The following is a 22,332-nucleotide window of genomic DNA, read 5'->3' on the forward strand; positions in this document are numbered from 1 at the left end:
CGGCTAATTTTTGTATTTTTAGTAGAGACGGGGTTTCACCGTGTTAGCCAGGATAGTCTCGATCTCCTGACCTCGTGATCCGCCCGTCTCGGCCTCCCACAGTGCTGGGATTACAGGCGTGAGCCACCGTGCCCGGCCATGTGTTTCTTATTCAACAGCTTTTGGTAACATTTTTATAGTTTTTTTCTTATAGATCTTCTTTCTTGGTAAATTTATTTTACCTTTATTATTTTTGTTATTGTGAATATTTTTACCATTAGCATTTCAAGGTGCTTATTGCTAATATATTTTGTATTATGATCTTATTTCCAAATGCCTTACCAATATTCCTCTTTAAAATATTTGAAAGTTCTGTTTTTCCTAATCTCTATGATTTCCTAGGCATATAATCATATCCACAAAAAGCTTTCTATATATTTATACTGATTATTTCATTTAAAAATCTTGTTACATTCATGGATCCTCCAAGATAATCTTTAATAACAAATACTGACAGCAGCTATTCCTGCTGGTTCCTTGTTTTATTTGAAATGTTCCTTTATGATTTAAAATACTTGTTTTGTAGGCATTTCATAAATAGCGGTTATGTTTAGACACTTTCCTTCAATTTCTATTTTACTCAAGAATCTTCATTAGGAGTGGATGTTTAATCTTAACAATAGCCCTCTCAGCATCTACTGATATAATCACATTTTCCTCTTCTTTGATGTCAATTATGTAATTGTGTTAATATACTTAACTGATATTGAAATACCCGTGAATTCCTGAAATACAATGCTCTTTGCATACTGTATTACTCTTTTTTGTTGTTGCAATTATTGATAAAAGTGCTGGGTTTTTATTTAGAATATTCATTCATATGTATAAGTCAGATTGGTCTATAGTTTTGGTTTTTTTGTTTTTTTTTTTTTTGTTTTGAGATGGAGACTTGCTCTGTCACCCAGGCTGGAGTGCAGTGGCGTGATCTTGGCTCACTGCAACCTCTGCCTCCTGGGTTCAAGCTGGGATTACAGACATGCACCACCAAGCCGGGCTAATTTTTGTATTTTTAGTAGAGACGGGGTTTCGCCATATTGTCCAGGCTGGTCTTGAACTCCTGACCTTAAGTGATCCACGTGCCTTGGCTTCCCGAAGTGCTGGGATTACAGGTGTAAGCCATGGCATCTGGCCTATAGTTTTGTCTTATGTTTATCAGGTTTTCATATTAATGCTGCACTGCCTATGTGAAATGAATTGGTTTTTCTTTTTTAAAAATATTTGGGATACTTTAAATAACATTGGAATTATCCTTCTTGCAACCCTAGTACTTTTTTAAATTATGGATTTAAAAAATCACTTTACATTCTTTCTTTGTAACTGGTCTATTAACATTTTAAATTTCTTCTTGGATTAGTTTTGGTCATTTATATTTTTCCAGAAAATTACCCATTTTCTCTAGATTTTCCAATGTGTGGCCATATAGTTGCATGCAGCATTTCAAAGTGAATCTTTCTTTTTTCTTTTCTTTTTTTTTTTTTTTTTTTTTTGAGATGGAGTCTTGCTCTGTGGCCCGGGCTGGAATGCAATGGCATGACCTTGGCACACTGCAACCTCTGCCTCCTGGATTCAAGCAATTCTTCCACCTCAGCCTCCCGAGTAGCTGGGATTACAGACATCCGCCATCATGCCCAGTTAATTTTTGTATTTTTGTAGAGACGAGTTTTCACAATGTTGGCCAGTCCATTCCATTCCATTCCATTCATTCCATTCCATTCCAGTCCATTTCATTCCATTCCATTCCATTCCATTCCATGACAGTCCATTCCATTAGAGTCCAGTCCAATCAATTCCATTCTATTCCATTCGAGTCCATTCCATTCCATTTTATTCGATTCCATTCTATTCCATTACTTTCGAATCCATTCCATTCCATTCCATTCGAGTCCATTCCATTTCATTCCATTCCATTTCATTCCATTCGAGTCCATTCCATTTCATTCCATTCCATTCCATTCCATTTCATTCCATTCGTGTCCATTACATTACATTACATTACATTACATTACATTACATTACATTACATTCGGGTCCAATCGATTCTGTGCCATTCTTGTCCCTTCCATTCGATTAGAGTCCCCTCCATTCCTTTGCATTCCATTCGAGTCCATTTCATTGCATTCCATTTCATTCGAGTCCATTCCTTTTCACTCAATTCCACTCGAGTCAATTCCAATCCACTCCATTCCATTCGAGTACATTCCATTCCATTCGAGTCCATTCCATTCTATTCCATTCAAATCCATTCCATTCCATTCCATTCCTTTTGATTCGAGTCCATTCCATTTCATTCAAGTCCATTCTGTTCCATTCCACTCCATTCGAGTGCATTCCATTCATTTCCATTCCATTCCATTCCTTTTGGGTCCGTTAAATTCAACTGCATTCCATTCCATTCCGTTCCATTCCATTCCATTCCATTCGGGTCCATTTCATTCCATTCCATTCCATTCGTGTGCATTCCATTCCATTAGAGTCCATTCCATTCCATTAATTTTGATTCCATTCCATTAATTTTGATTCCATTCCATTCCATTCCATTCTATTCCATTAGTTTCCATTCCATTCTATTCCATTAGAGTTCATTCCATTCCATACCATTCCATTCCATTCCACTCCTTTCCATTCCATCCAATTCCATGCCTTGCCATTCCTTTCGATTCCATTCCATTTGGGTCCATTCAATTCCATTCCATTTGGGTCCATTCCATTCCATTCCACTCCATTCGGGTCCTTTCCATTCCTTTCCATTCCATTCAAGTCCCTTTCTTTCCATTCCATTCCATTCCATTCTGGTTTTTTCCATTCCATGCCATTCAAGTCCATTCCATTCCATTCCATTCAAATCCATTCCATTCTACTAGAGTCAATTCCTTTCGAGTGAATTCCATTCCATTCCATTCGAGTCCATTCCATTCCATTACATTAAATTAGTGTTTATTCCATCCCATCCCATTCGAGTTCATTCAAATCCATTCCAATCCATTCGAGTCCATTCCATTGCTTTCCAATCCATTCGAATCCATTGCATTCTATTAAATTCAAGCCCATTCCATTCTGTTCAATTCCATTCGAGTCCAGTCCATTCCATTCTGTTCCATTGCATTCCATTCTATTCGAGTCTGTTCCATTCCATTCCATTCCATTCCATTCTATTCCATTCGAGTCCATTCCACTGCATTCCATTCAGGTCCATTCCATTCCCTTCCTCTAGAGTCCATTCCATTAAATCCCATTCTATTCCATTCAAGACTCTTCCATTCCATTCCATTCCATTCGTTTCCATTCTATTCCATTTGAGTCCATTCCATTCCATTCCTTTTGAGTCCATTCCATTCAATTCCATTCTCTTTCAATCCAATCAAGTCCAGTCCATTCCATTCCATTCCTTTCCATTCCATTCGATTCCATTCCATTCGGGTCAGTTCCATTCCTTTCCCCTCCTTTCGGGACATTCCATTCCATTCTATTCCATTCGAGTCCGTTCCTTTTCATTGCATTCAATTCCCTTCAAGTCCATTCCAATGCATTCCAATCCATTCAAGTCCATTCCATTGCATTCCATTCCGTTCGAGTCCACTCCATTGCACTCAAGTCATTTCCATTCCATTACATGCCATTCGAATCTATTCCATTCCATTCCATTCCATTCGAGTCCATTCCATTGCATTCCATTCCAATCGAGTCCAATCTACTCCATTCTATTCCATTCGAGTCCATTCCATTCCATTCCATGAGATTCCATTCCATTAGAGTCCAATCCATTAAATTCCATTCTATTCCATTCGAGTAAATTCCATTCCATTCCATTCCTTTCGAGTCCATTCCATTCCATTCCATTCAAGTCCATTCCATTCCATTCCATTGCATTTGAGCCCATTCCATTCCATTCCATTCCATTCCATTCCATTTCATTCATGTCCATTCCATTCCATTTCATTCCATTCCATTCCATTCCATTCGGGTCCATTTCATTCCATGCCATTTGTGTCCCTTCCATTCCATTTGAGTCCATCCCATTCCATTCTATTCCATTTAATTTGAGGCCATTTAATTGTATTCCATTTCATTCGAGTATGTTCCATTCCACTCCATTCCACACGAGTTGATTCCATTCCACTCCATACCATTCAAGTCCATCCCAATCCATTCCAGTCCATTCCATTCGAGTCCATTCCATTTCATTGCATTCCATTCCATTCCATTGCATTCCTTTTGAATCATTTCAATTCAACTGCGTTCCATGCGATTCCATTCCATTCCATTCAATTACATTCTTTTCGGGTCTATTCCATTCGAGTCCATTCCATTCGAGTCCATTCCATTCCTTTCCATTCGACTCCATTCCATTTCATTCTTTACCATTTCAGTCCTTTGCATTCCATTCCATTTGAGTCCATTCCATTGCTTTCCATTCCTTTTGAGTCCATTTCTTTCCATTGCATTCCATTCCAGTCGTGATAATTCCATCCCATTCCATTCGAGTCTATTCCATTCCATTCCATTCAAGTCCATTCCATTCCACTCGAGTCAATTCCATTCGAGTCAATTCCATTCCATTACATTCGAGTTCATTCCATTCCATTCCATTCCATTAGAGTTTATTCCATCCCATTCCTTTCGAGTCCATTCAAATCAATTCCATTCCATTCGAGTCCATTCCATTGCATTCCATTCCATTCGAGTCCATTTCATTCTATTTCATTAGTGTCCATTCCATCCATAATATTCCATTCGTGTCCAGTCCATTCCATTGGAGTCCATTCCATTCCATTCCACTCTCGTCATTTCCATTCCATTCCATTATATTCAAGTCCATTGCATTCCTTTCCATTCCATGCCATTCCACTCAAGTGGAGTCCATTCCATTCCATTCGAGTCCATTCCATTTCATTCGTATCCATTCCGTTCTATTCCATTCCATTCGAGTCCATTTCATTTCATTGCATTCCATTCCATTCCATTCCTTTCGAATCAATTCAACTGCATTCCATGCGAGTCCATTCCATTCCATTCCATTCCATTCCATTCAGTTAGATTCCTTTCGAGTCCATTCCATTCGAGTCCATTCCATTCATTTCCATTCGACTCCATTCCATTCCATTATTTACCATTTCAGTCCTTTGCATTCCATTCCATTTGAGTCCATTCCATTGCTTTCCATTCCATTTGAGTCCATTTCTTTCCATTCTATTGCATTCCAGTCGTGATAATTCCAACCCTTTTCATTCATTTGTATTCCATTCCATTCCATTCAAGTCCATTCCATTCCACTCGAGTCAATTCCATTCAAGTCAATTCCATTCCATTACATTCGAGTTCATTCCATTCCATTCCATTAGAGTTTATTCCATCCCATTCCTTTCGAGTCCATTCCATTCCATTCCATTCCAATCCATTCGAGTCCATTCCATTGCATTCCATTCCATTCGAGTCCATTCCATTCTAATTCATTCGTGTCTATTCCATCCATTATATTCCATTCGTGTCCCGTCCATTCCATTCGAGTCCATTCCATTCCATTCCACTCGAGTCATTTCCATTCCATTCAAGTCCATTCCATTCCATTCCACTCAAGTGGATTCCATTCCATTCCATTCCATTTGAGTCCATTCCATTTCATTCGAGTCCATTCCGTTCCATTCCATTGGTGTCCATTCCATTCCATTCCATTCTAATCCATTCCATTCCTTTCGGGTACATTCAATTCGACTGCATTCCATTCAAGTCCATTCCATTCCATTTCATTCCATTCCATTCCATTCGGGTCCATTCCATTACATTCATGTCCATTCCATTCCATTCGAGTCCATTCCATTCCATTAATTTTGATTCCATTCTATTCCATTCCATTCTATTCCATTAGAGTCCATTCCATTCCATACCATTCCATTCCACTCCATACCATTCCATTGCATTCCATTCCACTCCATTCCATTCCATTCCATTCCATTCCATTCCATTCCATTAAACGCCTTGCCATTCCATTCAATTCCTTTCCTTTCGGGTCCTTTCAATTCCATTCAATTCGTGACCATTCCATTCCATTCCACTCCATTCTGGTCGATTCCTTTCCTTTCCATTTCTTTCGAGTCTATTTCTTTCCATTCCATTCCATTTCATTCGTCTTAATTCCATTCCATTCCATTCAGCTTAATTCCATTCCATTCCATTCGAGTCCATTCCATTCCATTCCATTAGAATTTATTCTATCCCATCCCATTCGAGTCCATTCAAATCCATTCCATTGCATTTGAGTCCATTCCATTTCAATCCATTCGAGTCCATTCCATTGCTTTCCATTCCATTCGAATCCATTCCATTCTATTACATTCAATCATTCCATTCCGTTCCATTCCATTCGTGTCCAGTCCATTCCATACCATTCCATTCGAGTTCATTCCTTTCCATTCCATTCCATTTGCGTATATTCGAATCCATTCCATTCGAGTCCATTCCATTCCATTCCATTCGAGTACATTCCGTTCCATTCCAGTCCATTCAAATCCATTCCATTCCATTCCATTCCATTCTTTTAGAGTCCATTCCATTAAATCCCATTCTATTCCATTCAAGTCTGTTCCGTTCCATTCCATTCGAGTCCATTCCATTCCATTCCATTCGAGTACATTCCGTTCCATTCCAGTCCATTCAAATCCATTCCATTCCATTCTTTTAGAGTCCATTCCATTAAATCCCATTCTATTCCATTCAAGTCTGTTCCGTTCCATTCCATTCGAGTCCATTCCATTCCATTCCATTCGAGTACATTCCGTTCCATTCCAGTCCATTCAAATCCATTCCATTCCATTCTTTTAGAGTCCATTCCATTAAATCCCATTCTATTCCATTCAAGTCTGTTCCATTCCATTCCATTCCATTGCATTCATGTCCATTCTTTTCCATCCCCTTACATTCTAGTCAATTCCATTCCACCTCATTACATTTCAGTCCATTCCATTCCATGCCATTCCATTTGAGTCCATTCCATTCGATTCCATTCCGTTCCATTCCATTTGTATCCATTCCATTCCATTCTTTCCCATTTCAGTCCTTTGCATTCCATTCCAGTTGAGTACATTCCATTCCTTTCCATTCCATTCGAGTCCATTTCTTTCCATTACATTCATGATAATTCCATTCCAATCCATTAGAGTCCATTCCATTCCATTCCAATCCATTAGAGTCCATTCCATTCCGCTCAAGTCAATTCCGTTCGAGTCGATTCTATTCCTTTACATTCGAGTTCATTCCATTCCATTCCATTCCATTAGAGTTTATTCCATCCCATTCCATTCAAGTCCATTCAAATCCATTCCATTCCATTCTAGTCCATTCCATTCCAAATCATTCGAGTCCATTCCATTGCATTCCATTCCATTCCAGTCCATTCCATTCTATTTCATTCGAGTCCTTTCAATTCCATTCCATTCCATTCGTGTCCAGTATATTCCATTCGATTCCATTCCATTACATTCCATTCCAGTCAATTCCATTCCATTCCATTCTAATTGAGTACATTCCATTCCACTCGAGTCCATTCCATTCAATTCCATTCGAGTCCATTCCATTCCATTCCATTCTATTCCATTCGAGTCCATTTCATTCCATTTGACTCCATTACATTCCATTTCATTTGAATCCATTCCATTCCATTCCATTCTATTCCATTAAAGTCCTTTCCATTCCACTCCATTCCATTATATTTGTGTCCATTCCATTCCATTCAAGTCCATTCCATTCCATTCTTTCCATTCGCGTCCATTCCTTTCCATTCCATTAGAGTCCATTCCATTAATGCCCAAACCAATGAATTCCATTCTATTCCATTCGAGTCCATTCAATTCCATTCCATTCCCCTCGAGTCGTTTCCATTCCATTCCATTCCACCTGAGTCGGTTCCTTTCCTTTCCATTCCATTTGAGTCCGTGCCATTTCATTCGAGTCCATTCCATTCCATTCCATTCCATTCCATTCGAGTCCCTTCCATTGCATTCCATTTTAGTTCATTCCATTCCTTTCAGGTCCATTCAATTCAACTGCATTCCATTCAGGTCCATTCAATTCCATTCCATTCCATTCCATTCCATTCCATTACGTTCCATTCCATTCCATTCATGTCGATTCCATTCCATTCGTGTTCGTTCCATTCCATTAATTTTGATTGCATTCCATTCCATTCCATTCTATTCCATTAGAGTCCATTCCATTTCATACCATTCCATTCCATGCCTTTCCATTCCATTCGATTCCATTCCATTGGGTTCCATTCAATTCCATTCCATTCGGGTCCATTCCATTCCATTTCACTCCATCCTGGTCCATTCCATTCCTTTCCATTCCATTCAAGTCCATTTCTTTTCATTCAATTCCATTCGGGTTAATTCAATTCCATTCCATTCGCGTCCATTCCATTCCATTTCACTCCATTCTGGTCCATTCCATTCCTTTACATTCCATTCAAGTCCATTTCTTTGCATTCTATTCCATTTGGGTTAATTCAATTCCATTCCATTCGAGTCCAATCCTTACCATTAAACTCCATTCCATTCCACTTGAGTCAGTTTCATTCGAGTGAATTCCATTTCATTCCATTTGAGTCCATTCCATTCCAATCCATTCCATTAGAGTTTTTCATCCCATCCCTTTCGAGTCCATTGAAATCCGTTCCATTCCATTCGAGTCCATTCCATTCCAATCCATTCGAGTCCATTCCATTACATTACATTACATTACAATCCATTCCACTCTATTACATTCAAGTCCATTCCATTACGCTCCATTCCATTCACATCCAGTCCATTCCGTTCGAGTCAATTCCACTCCATTCCATTCCATTTGAGTACATTCAATTCGATTCCATTCCTCTCAAGTCCATTCCATTCCATTCTATTCTATTCCATTCCATTCCATTCCATTCGAGTCCATTCCATTCCATTCCATTTGAGTCCATTCCACTTCATTCCATTCCATTCCATTCCATTCGAGTCTATTCCATTCCAATCCATTTCTTTTGGTTCCATTCCTTTCAATTCCATTCGAGTCAATTCCATTCCATTCCATTCGATTCCATTCCACTGCATTCCATTTTAGTCCATTCCATTGCATTCCATTACATTCGAGTCCATTCTATTCTATTCAATTCGTGTCCATTCTTTGCTTTCCATTAGATTCCATTCGATTACAGTCCATTCTGTTAAATTCCATTCCATTCTATCCGAGTCCATTCCATTCCATTCAAGTCCATTCCATTCCATTGCCGTCAAGTCCGTTCCATTCCATTCAATTTTATTCCATTCAAGTCCACTCCATTTCATTCCATTCCATTCAAGTCCATTCCATGCCATTCCATTCCATGCGCGTCCACTCCGTTCCACTGCATTCAAGTCCATTCCATTCCATTCCATTTTAATCAAGTCCACTAAATTCCATTCTATTCCATTCGAGTCCCTTCCATTGCATTCCATTCGAGTCCATTCCCTTCCATTCCATTACATTAGAGTCCTTTCCATTAAATCCCACTCTATTCCATTCAAGTCTATTCCATTCCATTCGTATCCATTCTATTCCATTGGAGTCCATTCCATACCATTCCATTCCATTCCATTCCTTTCCATTCCATTCGATTCCATTCAATTTGAGTCCATTCCATTCCAATGCTTTCGAGTCCATTTCTTTCCATTCCACTCCATTCAGGTCCATTCAATTCCATTCTATTCCATTCGAGTCCATTCCTTTCCATTGCATTCCTTTCCAATCGGGTCCATTCCATTCCATTCCTTTCAACTCCATTCCATTCCATTCCAATCCATTCGAGCCCATTCCATTCCATTCCATTCCATTCCATTCTCATTCAATCCATTCCATTCCATTCCATTTGGGCCCATTTTATTCCATTCCATTCGAGGACATACCATTTCATTCCATTCTGTTCCATTCAAGTCCATTTCATTCCATACTATTCCATTCCATTCCAGTCCATTTCATTCCATTCCATTCCTTTCCATTCCATTCAGTCCATTCCATTCGAATGCAGTGGTGTCCATTCCTTTCCATTCTATTGCATTCGAGTCCATTCCATTCCTTCCCATTAAATTCGAGTCCATTCCTTTCTATGCCTTTCCTTTTGGGTACGTTCCATTCCATTCTAATGCATTCCATTCCATTCCATTTGGGTACATTCCATTCAATTCCATTGGAGTCTGTTCCATTCAATTCCATTCCATTCGGGTCCATACCATTCCATTCCATTCCATTCGAGTCCATTCCACTTCCTTCGAGTCCATTCCATTCCATTCAATGCCATTCGAGTCCATTCCTTTCCATTCCATTCCATTCGAGACCATTTCATACCAATCCATTCCTTTCCATTACATTCGGTTTCATTCCATTCCATTCTATTCGAGTACATTCCATTGCATTCCATTTCAATCAGGTCCATTCCATTCCATTCCATTGCACTCGAGTCGATTCTGTTCTATTCCATTCCATTCCATTCCATTCCAATCCTTTCCATTCCATTCCTATCGAGTCCATTGCATTTAACTGCATTCCATTCGAGTCCATTCCTTTCCATTCCATTCCATTCGAGTCCATTCCGTTCCATTCGGGTGCATTCCATTCCATTCCATTCCATTCAGTCCATTCCATTCCTTTCCATTCCATTCCACTCGAGTTCATTGCATTCCATTCCATTACATTCGAGTCCATTCCATTCCATTCCATTCCATTCTAGTTCAATCCATTCGATTCCATTCCATTCGGGTCCATTTGATTCCATTCCATTCAAGTACATTCCATTTCATTCCATTCTTTTCCATTCCATTCCATTCCATTCATTTCAATTCCATTGTATTCCTTTCCATTCCATTCCATTCCATTCCATTCCACTCCATTCGGCTCCATTCCATTCAATTCCATTGCATTCCATTCGGGTCCATTCCATTCCATTCCATTCCATACCATTCCATTACTTTTGGGTCCATTCCATTCGAGTCCATTTGATTGCATTCCATTTCATTCGAGTCCACTTCATTCGAATCCATTCCTTTCGAGTCCATTTGATTGCATTCCATTTCATTCGAGTCCACTTCATTCCATTTGAATCCATTCCATTGCATTCCATTCCATTCGAGTCCATTCCACTTTATTCCATTCGAGTCCATTCCATTCCATTCCATTCCTTTCCATTCTAGTTCAATACATTCGATTCCATTCCATTCTGGTCCATTTTAATCCTTTCCATTCCAGTACATTCTATTTCATTCCATTCTTTTCCATTCCATTCCATTCCGTTCCATTCTATTCCATTCCATTCCATTGCATTCCATTTGGGTCCATTCCATTCCATTCCACTCCATTCCTTTCCACTCCATCTGGCTCCATTCCATTCCATTCCACTGCATTCCATTCGGGTCCATTCCATTCCATTCAAGTCCATACCATTCCATTTCTTTTGGGTCCATTCCATTCCATTCCATTCCAGTCCATTCGATTGCATTCCATTTCATTCAAGTCCACTTCATTCGATTCCATTCCATTCGAGTGCATTCTATTCCATTCGAGTCCATTCCATTCCATGTGAGTCCATTCCATTGCATTCCATTCCATTCGAGTCCATTCCACTTTATTCCATTTGAGTCCATTCCATTCCATTCCATTCCAATCCAATCCATTCCATTCTGCTCCATTCCATTCCATACCATTCCATTGCTTTCGGTTCCATTCCATTCCATTCCATACCATTCCATTTCTTTCGGGTCCATTCCATTCCATTCTATTGTCATCCATTCCTTTCCGTTCCATTCCATTTGAGGCCATTCCATTCCATCCCATTACATCCAAGTCCATTCCATTCCATGCCATTACTTTCAAGTCCATTCCATACCATTCAATTCAGGTACATACCGTTCCATTCCATGAGAGTCCATTCCATTCCCTTCCACTCCATTCCATACCATTCCATTCCATTCCATTCCATTTGGGTCCATTCAATTCCATTCCTTTCGAGTCCATTTTATTCCATTCCATTCCGTTCCATTCCATTGGAATCCATTCCATTCCATTCCATTCCATACCATTCCATTCCATATGAGTCCATTCAATTCCATTCCTTTCGAGTCCATTGCATTCCATTCGAGTACATTCCTTTCCATTCCATTCCATTCGAGGCCATTCCATTCTATTCCCTTCCATTACATTCGAGTCCATTCCACTGGAGTCCATTCCATTCCATTCGAGTCCATTCCATTCTATTCCCTTCCATTACATTCGGGTCCATTCCACTGGAGTCCATTCCATTCCATTCGAGTCCATTCCATTCTATTCCCTTCCATTACATTCGGGTCCATTCCACTGGAGTTCATTCCATTCCATTAGAGTCTATTCCTTTCCATTCCATTCAATTCCATTCCATTCAGGTCCATTCCTTTCCATTCCATTCGAGTACATTCCACTTCATTCCATGCTATTCCATTCAAGTCCATTCCATTCCACACTATTCCATTCCATTCCATTCCATTCCATTCGGGTCCATTCCATTCCGGTCCCTTCCATTCCATTCCATTCCATTCTGGTCCATTCCATTCGGGTCCATTCCATTCCATTCCATTGGAGTCCATTCCATTCCATTCGGGTCCATTCCATTCCATCCCATTCGAGTCCATTCCATTCCATCCCATTACTTTTGAGTCCATTCCATTCCATCCCATTACATTAGAGTCCATTCCATTCCATCCCATTACATTAGAGTCCATTCCATTCCACTCTATTCCATTCCATTCGTATACATTCCATTCCATTCCATTCCATTGGATTCCATTCCATTCAATTCCATTCCATTCGAGACCATAACATTCCATTCGATTCCATTCGAGTCCATTTCATTCCATTCCATACGACTCCATTCCATTCCATTCCATACGACTCCATTCCATTCCATTCCGTTCCATTCGAGTCCATTCCTTTCCCTTCCATTCCATTCGAGTCCATTCCATTCCTTTCCATTACTTTTGGGTCCATTCCATTCCCTTCCTTTAGAGCCCGTTCGTTTGCATTCCATTTCATTCGAGTCCAGTCCATTCCATTCCTTTCGAGTCCATTCCATTCCATTTGAGTCCATTCCATTCCATTCCATTCGAGTCCATTCCATTTCATTCCATTCCATTTCAGTCCATTCCACTTTATTCTATTCGCGTCCATTCCATTCCATGCCATTTCATTCCATTCCATTTCAGTCCATTCCACTTTATTCTATTCGCGTCCATTCCATTCCATGCCATTTCATTCATGTCCATTCCATTACATTCGACTCCGTTTCATTCTATTCCATTCAAGTGAATTCCAGTCCATTGCATTGCATTTGAGTCCATTCCAATCCGTACCATTCGAGTAAATTCCATTCCTTTCAATTCCACTCGAGTCCATTCCATTCCATTCTATTCCACTCGAGTCCATTCCATTCCATTCTATTCCACTGGAGTCCATTCCTTTCCATTCTTGTCCATTCCATTCCATTTCATTTGAGTCCAATAAATTTCATTCCATTCGAATCCATTGAAGTCCATTCCATTCCATTCATTCCATTCCATTCCATTCATTCCATTCCATTCCATTCATTCCATTCCATTCCATTCCACTCCATTTCACACCATTCCATTCCAGTCCATTCTTGTCCATTCCATTCCATTAGTTTCGAGTCCATTTCATTCCTTTCTATTCCATTCGAGTCCATTCCATTCCTTTCCATTAGAGTCCATTCCATTATAGTATAATCCTCTAAATTCCATTCTATTGTTTTCAACTCTGTTCCGTTCCACTCCATTCCATTTCTGTCCATTCCATTCCATTCCATTTGAGTCCATTCCATTTAATTCCCTTTGATTCCAATCCATTCCATTCCATTCTATTCCACACAATTCCTTTCTATTCCATTCCATTCCATTGCATTCCTACCCATTCCTTTCCATTCCATTCCATTCGGTTCCATTCTATTCCATTCCATTGCATTCGAGTCCATTCCTTTCTTTTCCATTCCATTACTTTAAATTCCATTCGAGTCCATTCCATTCCATTCCAATCCATTCGAATCCATTCCATTCCATTCCATTTGAGTTTAATCCATTCCATTCCATTCCATTTGGGTCCTTTCCAATCCATTCCATTCGAGTATATTCCATTTAATTACATTGTGTCCCATTCAAATCTATTCCATTTCATATCATTCCATTCCATTCCAGTCCATTTCATTGATTTCCATTCCATTCCATCCCATTCCATTCCATTCCATTGGAGTCCATTCGTTTCCATTCCATTGCATTCAAATCCATTCCATTCCATCACATTAAATTCGAGTCCATTCCATTCCATGCCATTATATTCAAGTACGTTCCATACCATTCCATTGCATTCCATTCCATTCCATTCCAATTGGGCACATTCCATTAAATTTCATTAGAGTCCATTCCATTCAACTCCATTCCATTCAAATCCTTACCATTCCATTCCATTCGAGTCAATTCCATTCAATTTCCTTCGAGATCATTCCATTGTATTCAATGCCATTTGAGTCCATTCCTTTCCATTTCATTCCTTTCAAGTCCATTCCATGCCAATCCATTACATTCCATTACATTTGGGTTCATTCCATTCCATTCTATTCGAGTCCATTCCATTGCATTCTATTTCTTTCGAGTAAACTCCATTCCATTCAATTGCACTCCAGTCGATTCCATTCTATTCCATTCTTTTCCTTTCCATTCCATTCCTTTCCATTCCATTCCTTTCGAGTCCATTCCATTTAACTGCATTCCATTCGATTCCATTCCTTTCCATTCCATTCTATTCAATTCCATTTCATTTGAGTCCATTCTATTCTATTCCATTCCATTAGAGTCCATTCGAGTTCAATCCATTCGATTCCATTCCATTCGTGTCCATTTTATTCAATTCCATTCGAGTATATTCCATTTCATTCCATTCTATTCCATTCAAGTCCATTCTATTCCAGTCCATTCCATTCCATTCCATTCCATTCCATTCTATTCCATTCTATACCATTCCATTCCATTCGGGTCCGTTCCATAACATTCCATTGTAGTCCATTCCTTTCCATTCCATTCCATTCGAGTCCATTCTGTTCCATCCCATTACATCCGAGTCCATTCCATTCCATGCCATTACATTCATTTACATTCCATAACATTGTATTCCATTTCATTCGGGTACATATCATTCCATTCCATTGGAGTCCATTCCATCCCATTCCATTCGAGTCCATTCCTTTCCATTCCATTCCATTCGAGTCCATTCCATTCTATTCCCCTCCATTACATTTGGGTCCTTTCCATTCCATTCCATTCGAGTCCATTCCATTCCATTCAAGTCCATTCCTTTCCATTCCTTTCCATTCCATTCGGGTCCATTTCATTCAAATCCATTCCTTTTGAGTCCATTCTATTCCATTCCATTCCATTCGAGTTCAATCCATTCTTTTCCATTCCATTCGGATCCATTCCAGTCCATTCCAATCGAGTACATTCCATTTCATTCCATTCTATTCCATTCAATTGCATTTTGTTCCACACCATTCCATTCCATTTCGGTCCATTCCATTCCATTCCATTCCATTCCTTTCGGGTCCATTCCATTTCATTCAATTCCATTCCATTCCATTGCATTCGGGTCCATTCCATTCCATTCCATTGGAGTCCATTCCATTCCATCTCATTCCATTCTATTCGAATCCATTCCATTCCATCCCATTACATTCGAGTCCATTCCATTTGATGTCATTCCATTCGAGTCCATTCGATTCCATTCCATTCCATTCCATTCCATTCCATTCCATTGATGTACATTCCCTTCCATTGATGTACATTCCCTTCCATTGAATTGGAGCCCATTCCATTCAATTCCATTCCATTCGAATACATAACATTCCATTCCATTCCATTTGAGTCCATTCCATTGCATTCCATTTCATTCGAGTCCACTCCATTAAATTCCATTCCCTTCAAGTCCATTCCATGCCATTCCATGCTATTCGACTCCATTCCTTTCCATTCCATTCCATTCGAGTTCATTCCATTCCAATCCATTACATTCCACTACATTCGGTTCCATTCCATTCTATTCGAGTCCATTCCATTGCATTCCATTACATTCAAGTCCACTCCATTTCAATTCATTCCACTCACATCGATTGAATTCCTTTCCATTCCATTCCATTCCATGCCTTTCCATTACATCCCATTCCATGCCTTTCCATTCCATTCTATTCCATTCCTTTCCAATCCATTCCTTTGTTTCCATTCCATTCAACTGCATTCAATTCGAGTCCATTCCTTTCCATCCCACTCCATTCAATTCCATTCGAATGCATTCCATTCCATTCGAGTCCATTCCATTCCATTCCATTGAAGTTCAGTCCATTCGATTCCATTGCATTTGGGTCCATTCCATTCCATTCCATTCGAGTACATTCCATTTCATTCCATTCTATTCCATTCAAGTCCATTCCATTCCATAACATTCCATTCCATTCCTTTCGATTCAATTCGGTTCCATTCCATTCCGTTTCATTCCATTCCATTCCATTCGGGTCAATTCCATTCCGTTCCATTGTAGTCCAGTCCTTTCCATTCCATTCCACTCGAGTCTATTCCATTCTATCCCGTTACTTCCGAGTACATTCCATCCCATGCCGTTAAATTCGAGTCAATTGCATTCCATTGTTTTCCATTCCAATCCATTCCATTCCATTCCATTTGGGTATATCCCATTCCATTCCATTGGAGTCCAATCCATTCCATTGCATTCCATTCTATTCCATAAAACTCCCTTCCATTCCATTCCAGTCCATTCAATTCCACTGCCTTTGAGTCCATTCCATTCCACTCCATTCCATTCGAATCCATTCCTTTCCATTCCATCCCATTCAAGTCCATTCCATTCCATTCCCTTCTATAACATTCCGGTCCTTTCCATTCCACTCCACTCGAGTATATTCCATTGCATTTCCTTTCATTCGAGTCCATGCCATTCCATTCCATTCCAGTCGAGTCGATTCCATTCCATTCCATTCGATTCCATTCCATTCCATTCGAGTCCATTCCATTCCATTAGATTCCATTCCACTCCATTCATTTCAATTCCATTGCTTTCGAGTCCATAGCATTCAACTGCATTCCATTCGAGTCTATTCCTTTCCATTACGTTCCATTCCATTTTATTCCATTCGAGTCCATTCCATTCCATTCCATTCGAGTCCAATTCATTCCATTACATTCGAGTACATTCTATTGTGTTACATTCCATTCCTTTGCAGTCCTTTGAATTCCATTCCATTCCATTTGAATCCATTGCATTCCATTCCATTCGAGTCCATTCCATTCTCTTCCAGTCGAGTCCATTCCATTTCAATCCATTAGATTCCATTCCATTAAATTTCGTTCCATTCCATTCGAGTCTATTCCATTACATTTCATTCAATTCGAGTCCATTCCATTTGAGTCCATTCCATTCCATTCCTTTTGAGTCCATTCCATTCCTTTCCATTCGAATCCATTCCATTCCATTCCCTTCGAGTCCATTCCATTCCTTTCCATTCGAGTCCATTCCATTGCATTCCATTCCATTCGAGTCTATTCCACTTTATTCCATTCGAGTCCATTCCATTCCATTCGCGTCCATTCCATTACATTCGACTCCATTCCATTCTATTCCATTCAAGTGAATTCCAATCCATTCCATTGTATTCGAGTCCATTCCATTCAATTCCACTGAGTGAATTCCATTCCATTCCATTCCACTCGAATCCATTCCTTTCCATTGCATTCATCTCAAGTCCATTTCACTTCATTCCATTTGAGTCCATTCCATTCCATTCCATTCCATTCGAGTCCATTCCATTCCATTCCATTTGTGTCCATTCCATTCCGTTTCTTTCGAGTCCATTCCATTCCATTCCATTCATTCCATTCCATTCCAGTCCATTTCATTCCATTCTATTCCATTCCATTCCATTCCATTCCATTATATTCCATTCGAATCCATTGCATTCCTTTCCATTAGAATCCATTCCCTTAGAGTCCAATCTGGTAAATTCCATTCTATTGCATTCAACTCCGTTCCATTCCACTGCATTCCATTTGAGTCCATTATATTCTATTCGAGTCCATTCCATTCAATTCCATTCAATACCAATCCATTCCATTCCATTCTATTGCATTAAACTCCTTTCCATAACATTCCATTCCATTGCATTCTAGTCCATTCCATTGAAATCCATTCCATTCCATTCGTGTCCAGTCCATTCCATTTGAGTCCATTCCATTCAATTCGAGTCCAATCCTTTCCATTCCACTCCATTCAATTCCATTCAATTCCATTCCAATCCATTCCAATGCATTCGAGTCCATGCCATTCCATTCCATTCCATTCGACTTCAATCCATTCCATTCACTTCCATTACATTCCATTCCATTCGAGTACATTCCCTTTCATTCCATTCTATTCCATTCAAGTCCATTCCATTCCATACAATTCCATTCCATTCTTGTCCATTTCATTCCATTATATTCCATTCCATCCATTCGACTCCATTCCATTCGGTCCATTCCATTCTATTCCATTGGAGTCCATTCCTTTCCATTCCATTCCATTCCAGTCCATTCCATTCCATCCCATTACATTCGAGTCCATTCCATTCCATGCCGTTACAATCTATTCCATTCCATTCCATTCCAATCCATTCCATTTGGGTACTTCCATTCCATTCCATTGGAGTCCATTCCATTCAATTCTATTCCATTTGATTCCTTACCAGTCCATTCCATTCCATTCAAGTCCATTCCATTCCATTCCCTTCGAGTACATTCCATTCCATTCCATTCCATGCCATTCGAGTCCATTCCTTTCCATTTCATTTCATTTGAGTCCATTCCATTCCTTTCCATTCCATTACATTCGGGTTCATTCCATTCCTTTCAAGTCCATTCCTTTGCATTTCATTTCATTCAAGTCCAATCCATTCCATTCCATTTCACTAGGGTCGATTCCATTCCATTGCATTCCATTCGAGTCCATTCCATTCTATTCCATTCCGTTCCACTCCATTACATTCCATAACATTCCATTCCTTTCCTTTCGAGTCCATTCCAATCAATTGCATTCCATTCGAGTCCATTCTTTTCATTCCATTCCATTCAATTCCATTCGAGTCCATTCTTTTCCATTCCGTTCCATTCAATTCCATTCGAGTCCATTCCATTTCATTCCATTCCATTTGAGTCCATTCCATTCCATTCCATTCGTGTTCATTCCATTCCATTCCATTCCATTCCATTCGAATACATTCCATTTCATTCTATTCTATTCCATTCAAGTCCATTCCATTCCATTCAAGTCCATTTCATTCAATACCATTCCATTCCATTCGAGTCCATACCATTCCATTCCATTCAATTCCGTTCCATTGCTTTCTGGTCCATTCCATTCCTTTCCATTGGAGTAAATTCCTTTGCATTCCATTCCATTTGAATACATTCCATTCCATCCCATTACATTTGAGTCCGTTCCATTCCATGCCATTCCATTCCATGCCTTTCCATTGGAGTCCATACCATTCCAATCCATTCCATTCGGTTACATTCCATTCCATTCCGTTGGAGTCCATTCCATTCCATTCGAGTCCATTCCATTCCATTCCCTTCTAGTCCATTCCATTCCATTCCAGTCCATTCCTTTCCATTCCATTTCATTCGAGTCCATTCTATTCCATTCCCTTCCATTACATTTGGGTCCATTCCTTTTCATTCCATTCGATTCCATTTCTTTGCGTTCCCTTTCATTCGAGTCCACTCTTTTCCATTCCATTCCACCTTAGTCGATTCCACTCCATTCCCTTCCAGTCCATTCCATTCAAGTCCATTCCATTCCATTCCCTTCGAGTCCATTCCATTCCACTCCACTCTAGGCCAGTCCGTTCCTTTCCATTCAATCCATTCAAGTCTAATCCATTCCATTCCATTCGAGTACATTCCATTGCATTCTCTTTAATTCGAGTCCACTCCATTTCATTCCATTCCACTTGAGTCAATTCTATTCCATTCCATTTGAGTCCCTTCCATTCCATTCGAATCCATTCCATTCCATTCCATTCCTTTCCATTCCATTCCTTTTGAGTCCATTCCATTCAACTGCCTTCTATTCAACTCTATTCTGTTCCATTCCATTCCATTACATTCCATTGCATTCGAGTCCATTTGTTCCATTTCATTCGAGTCCATTTCATTCCATTACCTTCCATTTCATTCGTGTCAATTCCTTTCCGTTACCTTCCATTCCATTCGAGTCTATTCCATTCCGTTACATTCCATTCCTTTCGAGTCCACTGAATTCCACTCCATTCCATTCTAATCCATTGCATTCCATTCCATTAGAGTCCATTCCATTCTATTGCATTAGTGTCCATTGCATTCAATTCCACTGGAGTTCATTCCTTTCCATTCCATTCCATTCGAATCCATTCCATTCCAGCCCATTACATTCGAGTCCATTCCATTCCATGCCATTACATTCGATTCCGTTCCATTCCATTCCATTCCAATCTATTCCATTCGGGTACTTCCATTCTATTCCATTGGAATCCAAGTCACTTAATTCCATTCCATTCGAGTCCTTACCATTCCATTCCATTCCATTCGAGACCATTCCATTCCATGCCCTTCGAGTCCTTTCCATTCCATTCCATGTCATTCGAGTCCATTCCTTTCCATTCTATTTCATTCCAGTTCATTCCATTACTTTCCATTCCATTACATTCTGGTCCACTCCATTCCATACCATTCGAATCCATTCCATTGTATTCCATTTCATTCGAGTCCACTCCATTCCATTCCATTCCACTAGAGTGCATTCCATTCCATTGCATTCCATTTGACTCCATTCCATTCCATTCGAGTCCATTCCATTCCATTCCATACCATTCCATTCCTTTCCATTCCATTCCTTTCGAGTCCATTCCAGTCAACTGCATTCCATTCAAGTTCATTCCTTTCCATTCCATTACATTGCATTCCATTCGGCTCCATTCCATTCCAATCTATTCCATTCGAGTCCATTCCACTCCATTCCATTCCATTCCATTCGATTTGATTCCATTCCATTCGGGTCCATTCCATTAAATTCCATTCCATTAAATTCCATTCCATTCGAGTCCACTCCATTCCATTCCGTTCGAATCCATTCCATTCCATTCGAGTCCATTCCACCCCATTCCATTGCATTCGATTCCATTGCATTCCACACTATTCCATTCGGGTCCTTCCCATTCAATTCCATTCGAGTCAATTCCATTCCATTCCATTCCAGTCCATTCCATCTCATTCCAATCCATTCTTTTTGAGTCTGTTCAATTCCATTCCATTCCCTTCGAGTCCATTCCATTCCATTCCATTAGAGTCCATTGCATTGCATTCCATTCCATTCGGGTCCATTCCACTCTACTCAGTTGGAGTGTATTCCATTCCATTCCATTCGAGTCCATTCCAATCCAATCCATTCCTTTCAAGTCCATTCCATTCCATTCTATTTGAGTCCATTCCATTCCATTCCATTGCATTCCATTCCATTCGAATAAATGCCATTCCCTTCTGTTCCATTCTATACCATTCCATTCCATTTGAGTCAATTCCATGCCATTCCATTCCATTCCATTCCATTCTTTTCCATTCCATTCCATTCCACTCCATTCAATGTGAGTCCATTCCATTGCTCTCCATTCCATTCAAGTCTGCTCCATTCTATTCCATTCGTGTGCATTCTATTCCATTCCATTCGAGTCCATTCCATTCTATTCCATTCGAGTATATTCCATTCCATTCCTTTCCACTCGAGTCTATTCCATGTAATTCTGTTCGAGTCCGCTCCATTCCATTGGAGTCCTTTCCCTTCCATTGCATTCATTCTAGTCCATTCCATTCCATGCTACTCCTTTTGACTCCATTCCTTTCCATTCCATTTGAGAGCATTCCTTTCCAACCCATTCCTTTCAGGTCTGTTCCATTCCATTCCATTCGAATACACTCCATACCTTTCCTTTCCATTCGAGTCTATTCCATTTCTTGCCATTCCATTCCTTTCCATTCCATTCCATTCGAGTCCATTCTATTCAATTCCATTTGAGTCAATTCCATTCAATTCCATTCGAGTCCATTCCATTACATTCCTTTCCATTCAATTCCAGTCCACTTTATTTCATTCGAGTGCACTCCATTCCATTCCATTAGAGTAAAT

At 39.7% G+C, this 22,332-nt stretch overlaps 4 annotated features.

Moving 5' to 3' along the window:
* Positions 5,615 to 6,442: an enhancer, noted in NCBI's record as "OCT4-NANOG hESC enhancer chr10:42794470-42795297 (GRCh37/hg19 assembly coordinates)". NCBI's record gives its function as "activates a minimal SCP1, AML or CMV promoter by ChIP-STARR-seq in primed H9 embryonic stem cells {active_cell/tissue: H9 hESC(primed)}" and the evidence as "EXISTENCE:reporter gene assay evidence [ECO:0000049][PMID:30033119]".
* Positions 7,330 to 7,831: an enhancer, noted in NCBI's record as "NANOG hESC enhancer chr10:42796185-42796686 (GRCh37/hg19 assembly coordinates)". NCBI's record gives its function as "activates a minimal SCP1, AML or CMV promoter by ChIP-STARR-seq in primed H9 embryonic stem cells {active_cell/tissue: H9 hESC(primed)}" and the evidence as "EXISTENCE:reporter gene assay evidence [ECO:0000049][PMID:30033119]".
* Positions 7,874 to 8,700: an enhancer, noted in NCBI's record as "OCT4-NANOG hESC enhancer chr10:42796729-42797555 (GRCh37/hg19 assembly coordinates)". NCBI's record gives its function as "activates a minimal SCP1, AML or CMV promoter by ChIP-STARR-seq in primed H9 embryonic stem cells {active_cell/tissue: H9 hESC(primed)}" and the evidence as "EXISTENCE:reporter gene assay evidence [ECO:0000049][PMID:30033119]".
* Positions 9,392 to 10,084: an enhancer, noted in NCBI's record as "OCT4-NANOG hESC enhancer chr10:42798247-42798939 (GRCh37/hg19 assembly coordinates)". NCBI's record gives its function as "activates a minimal SCP1, AML or CMV promoter by ChIP-STARR-seq in primed H9 embryonic stem cells {active_cell/tissue: H9 hESC(primed)}" and the evidence as "EXISTENCE:reporter gene assay evidence [ECO:0000049][PMID:30033119]".

Source organism: Homo sapiens, chromosome 10 (genome assembly GCF_000001405.40).
Source record: "Homo sapiens chromosome 10, GRCh38.p14 Primary Assembly".
In the NCBI taxonomy this organism is placed as follows: Eukaryota; Metazoa; Chordata; class Mammalia; order Primates; family Hominidae; genus Homo; species Homo sapiens.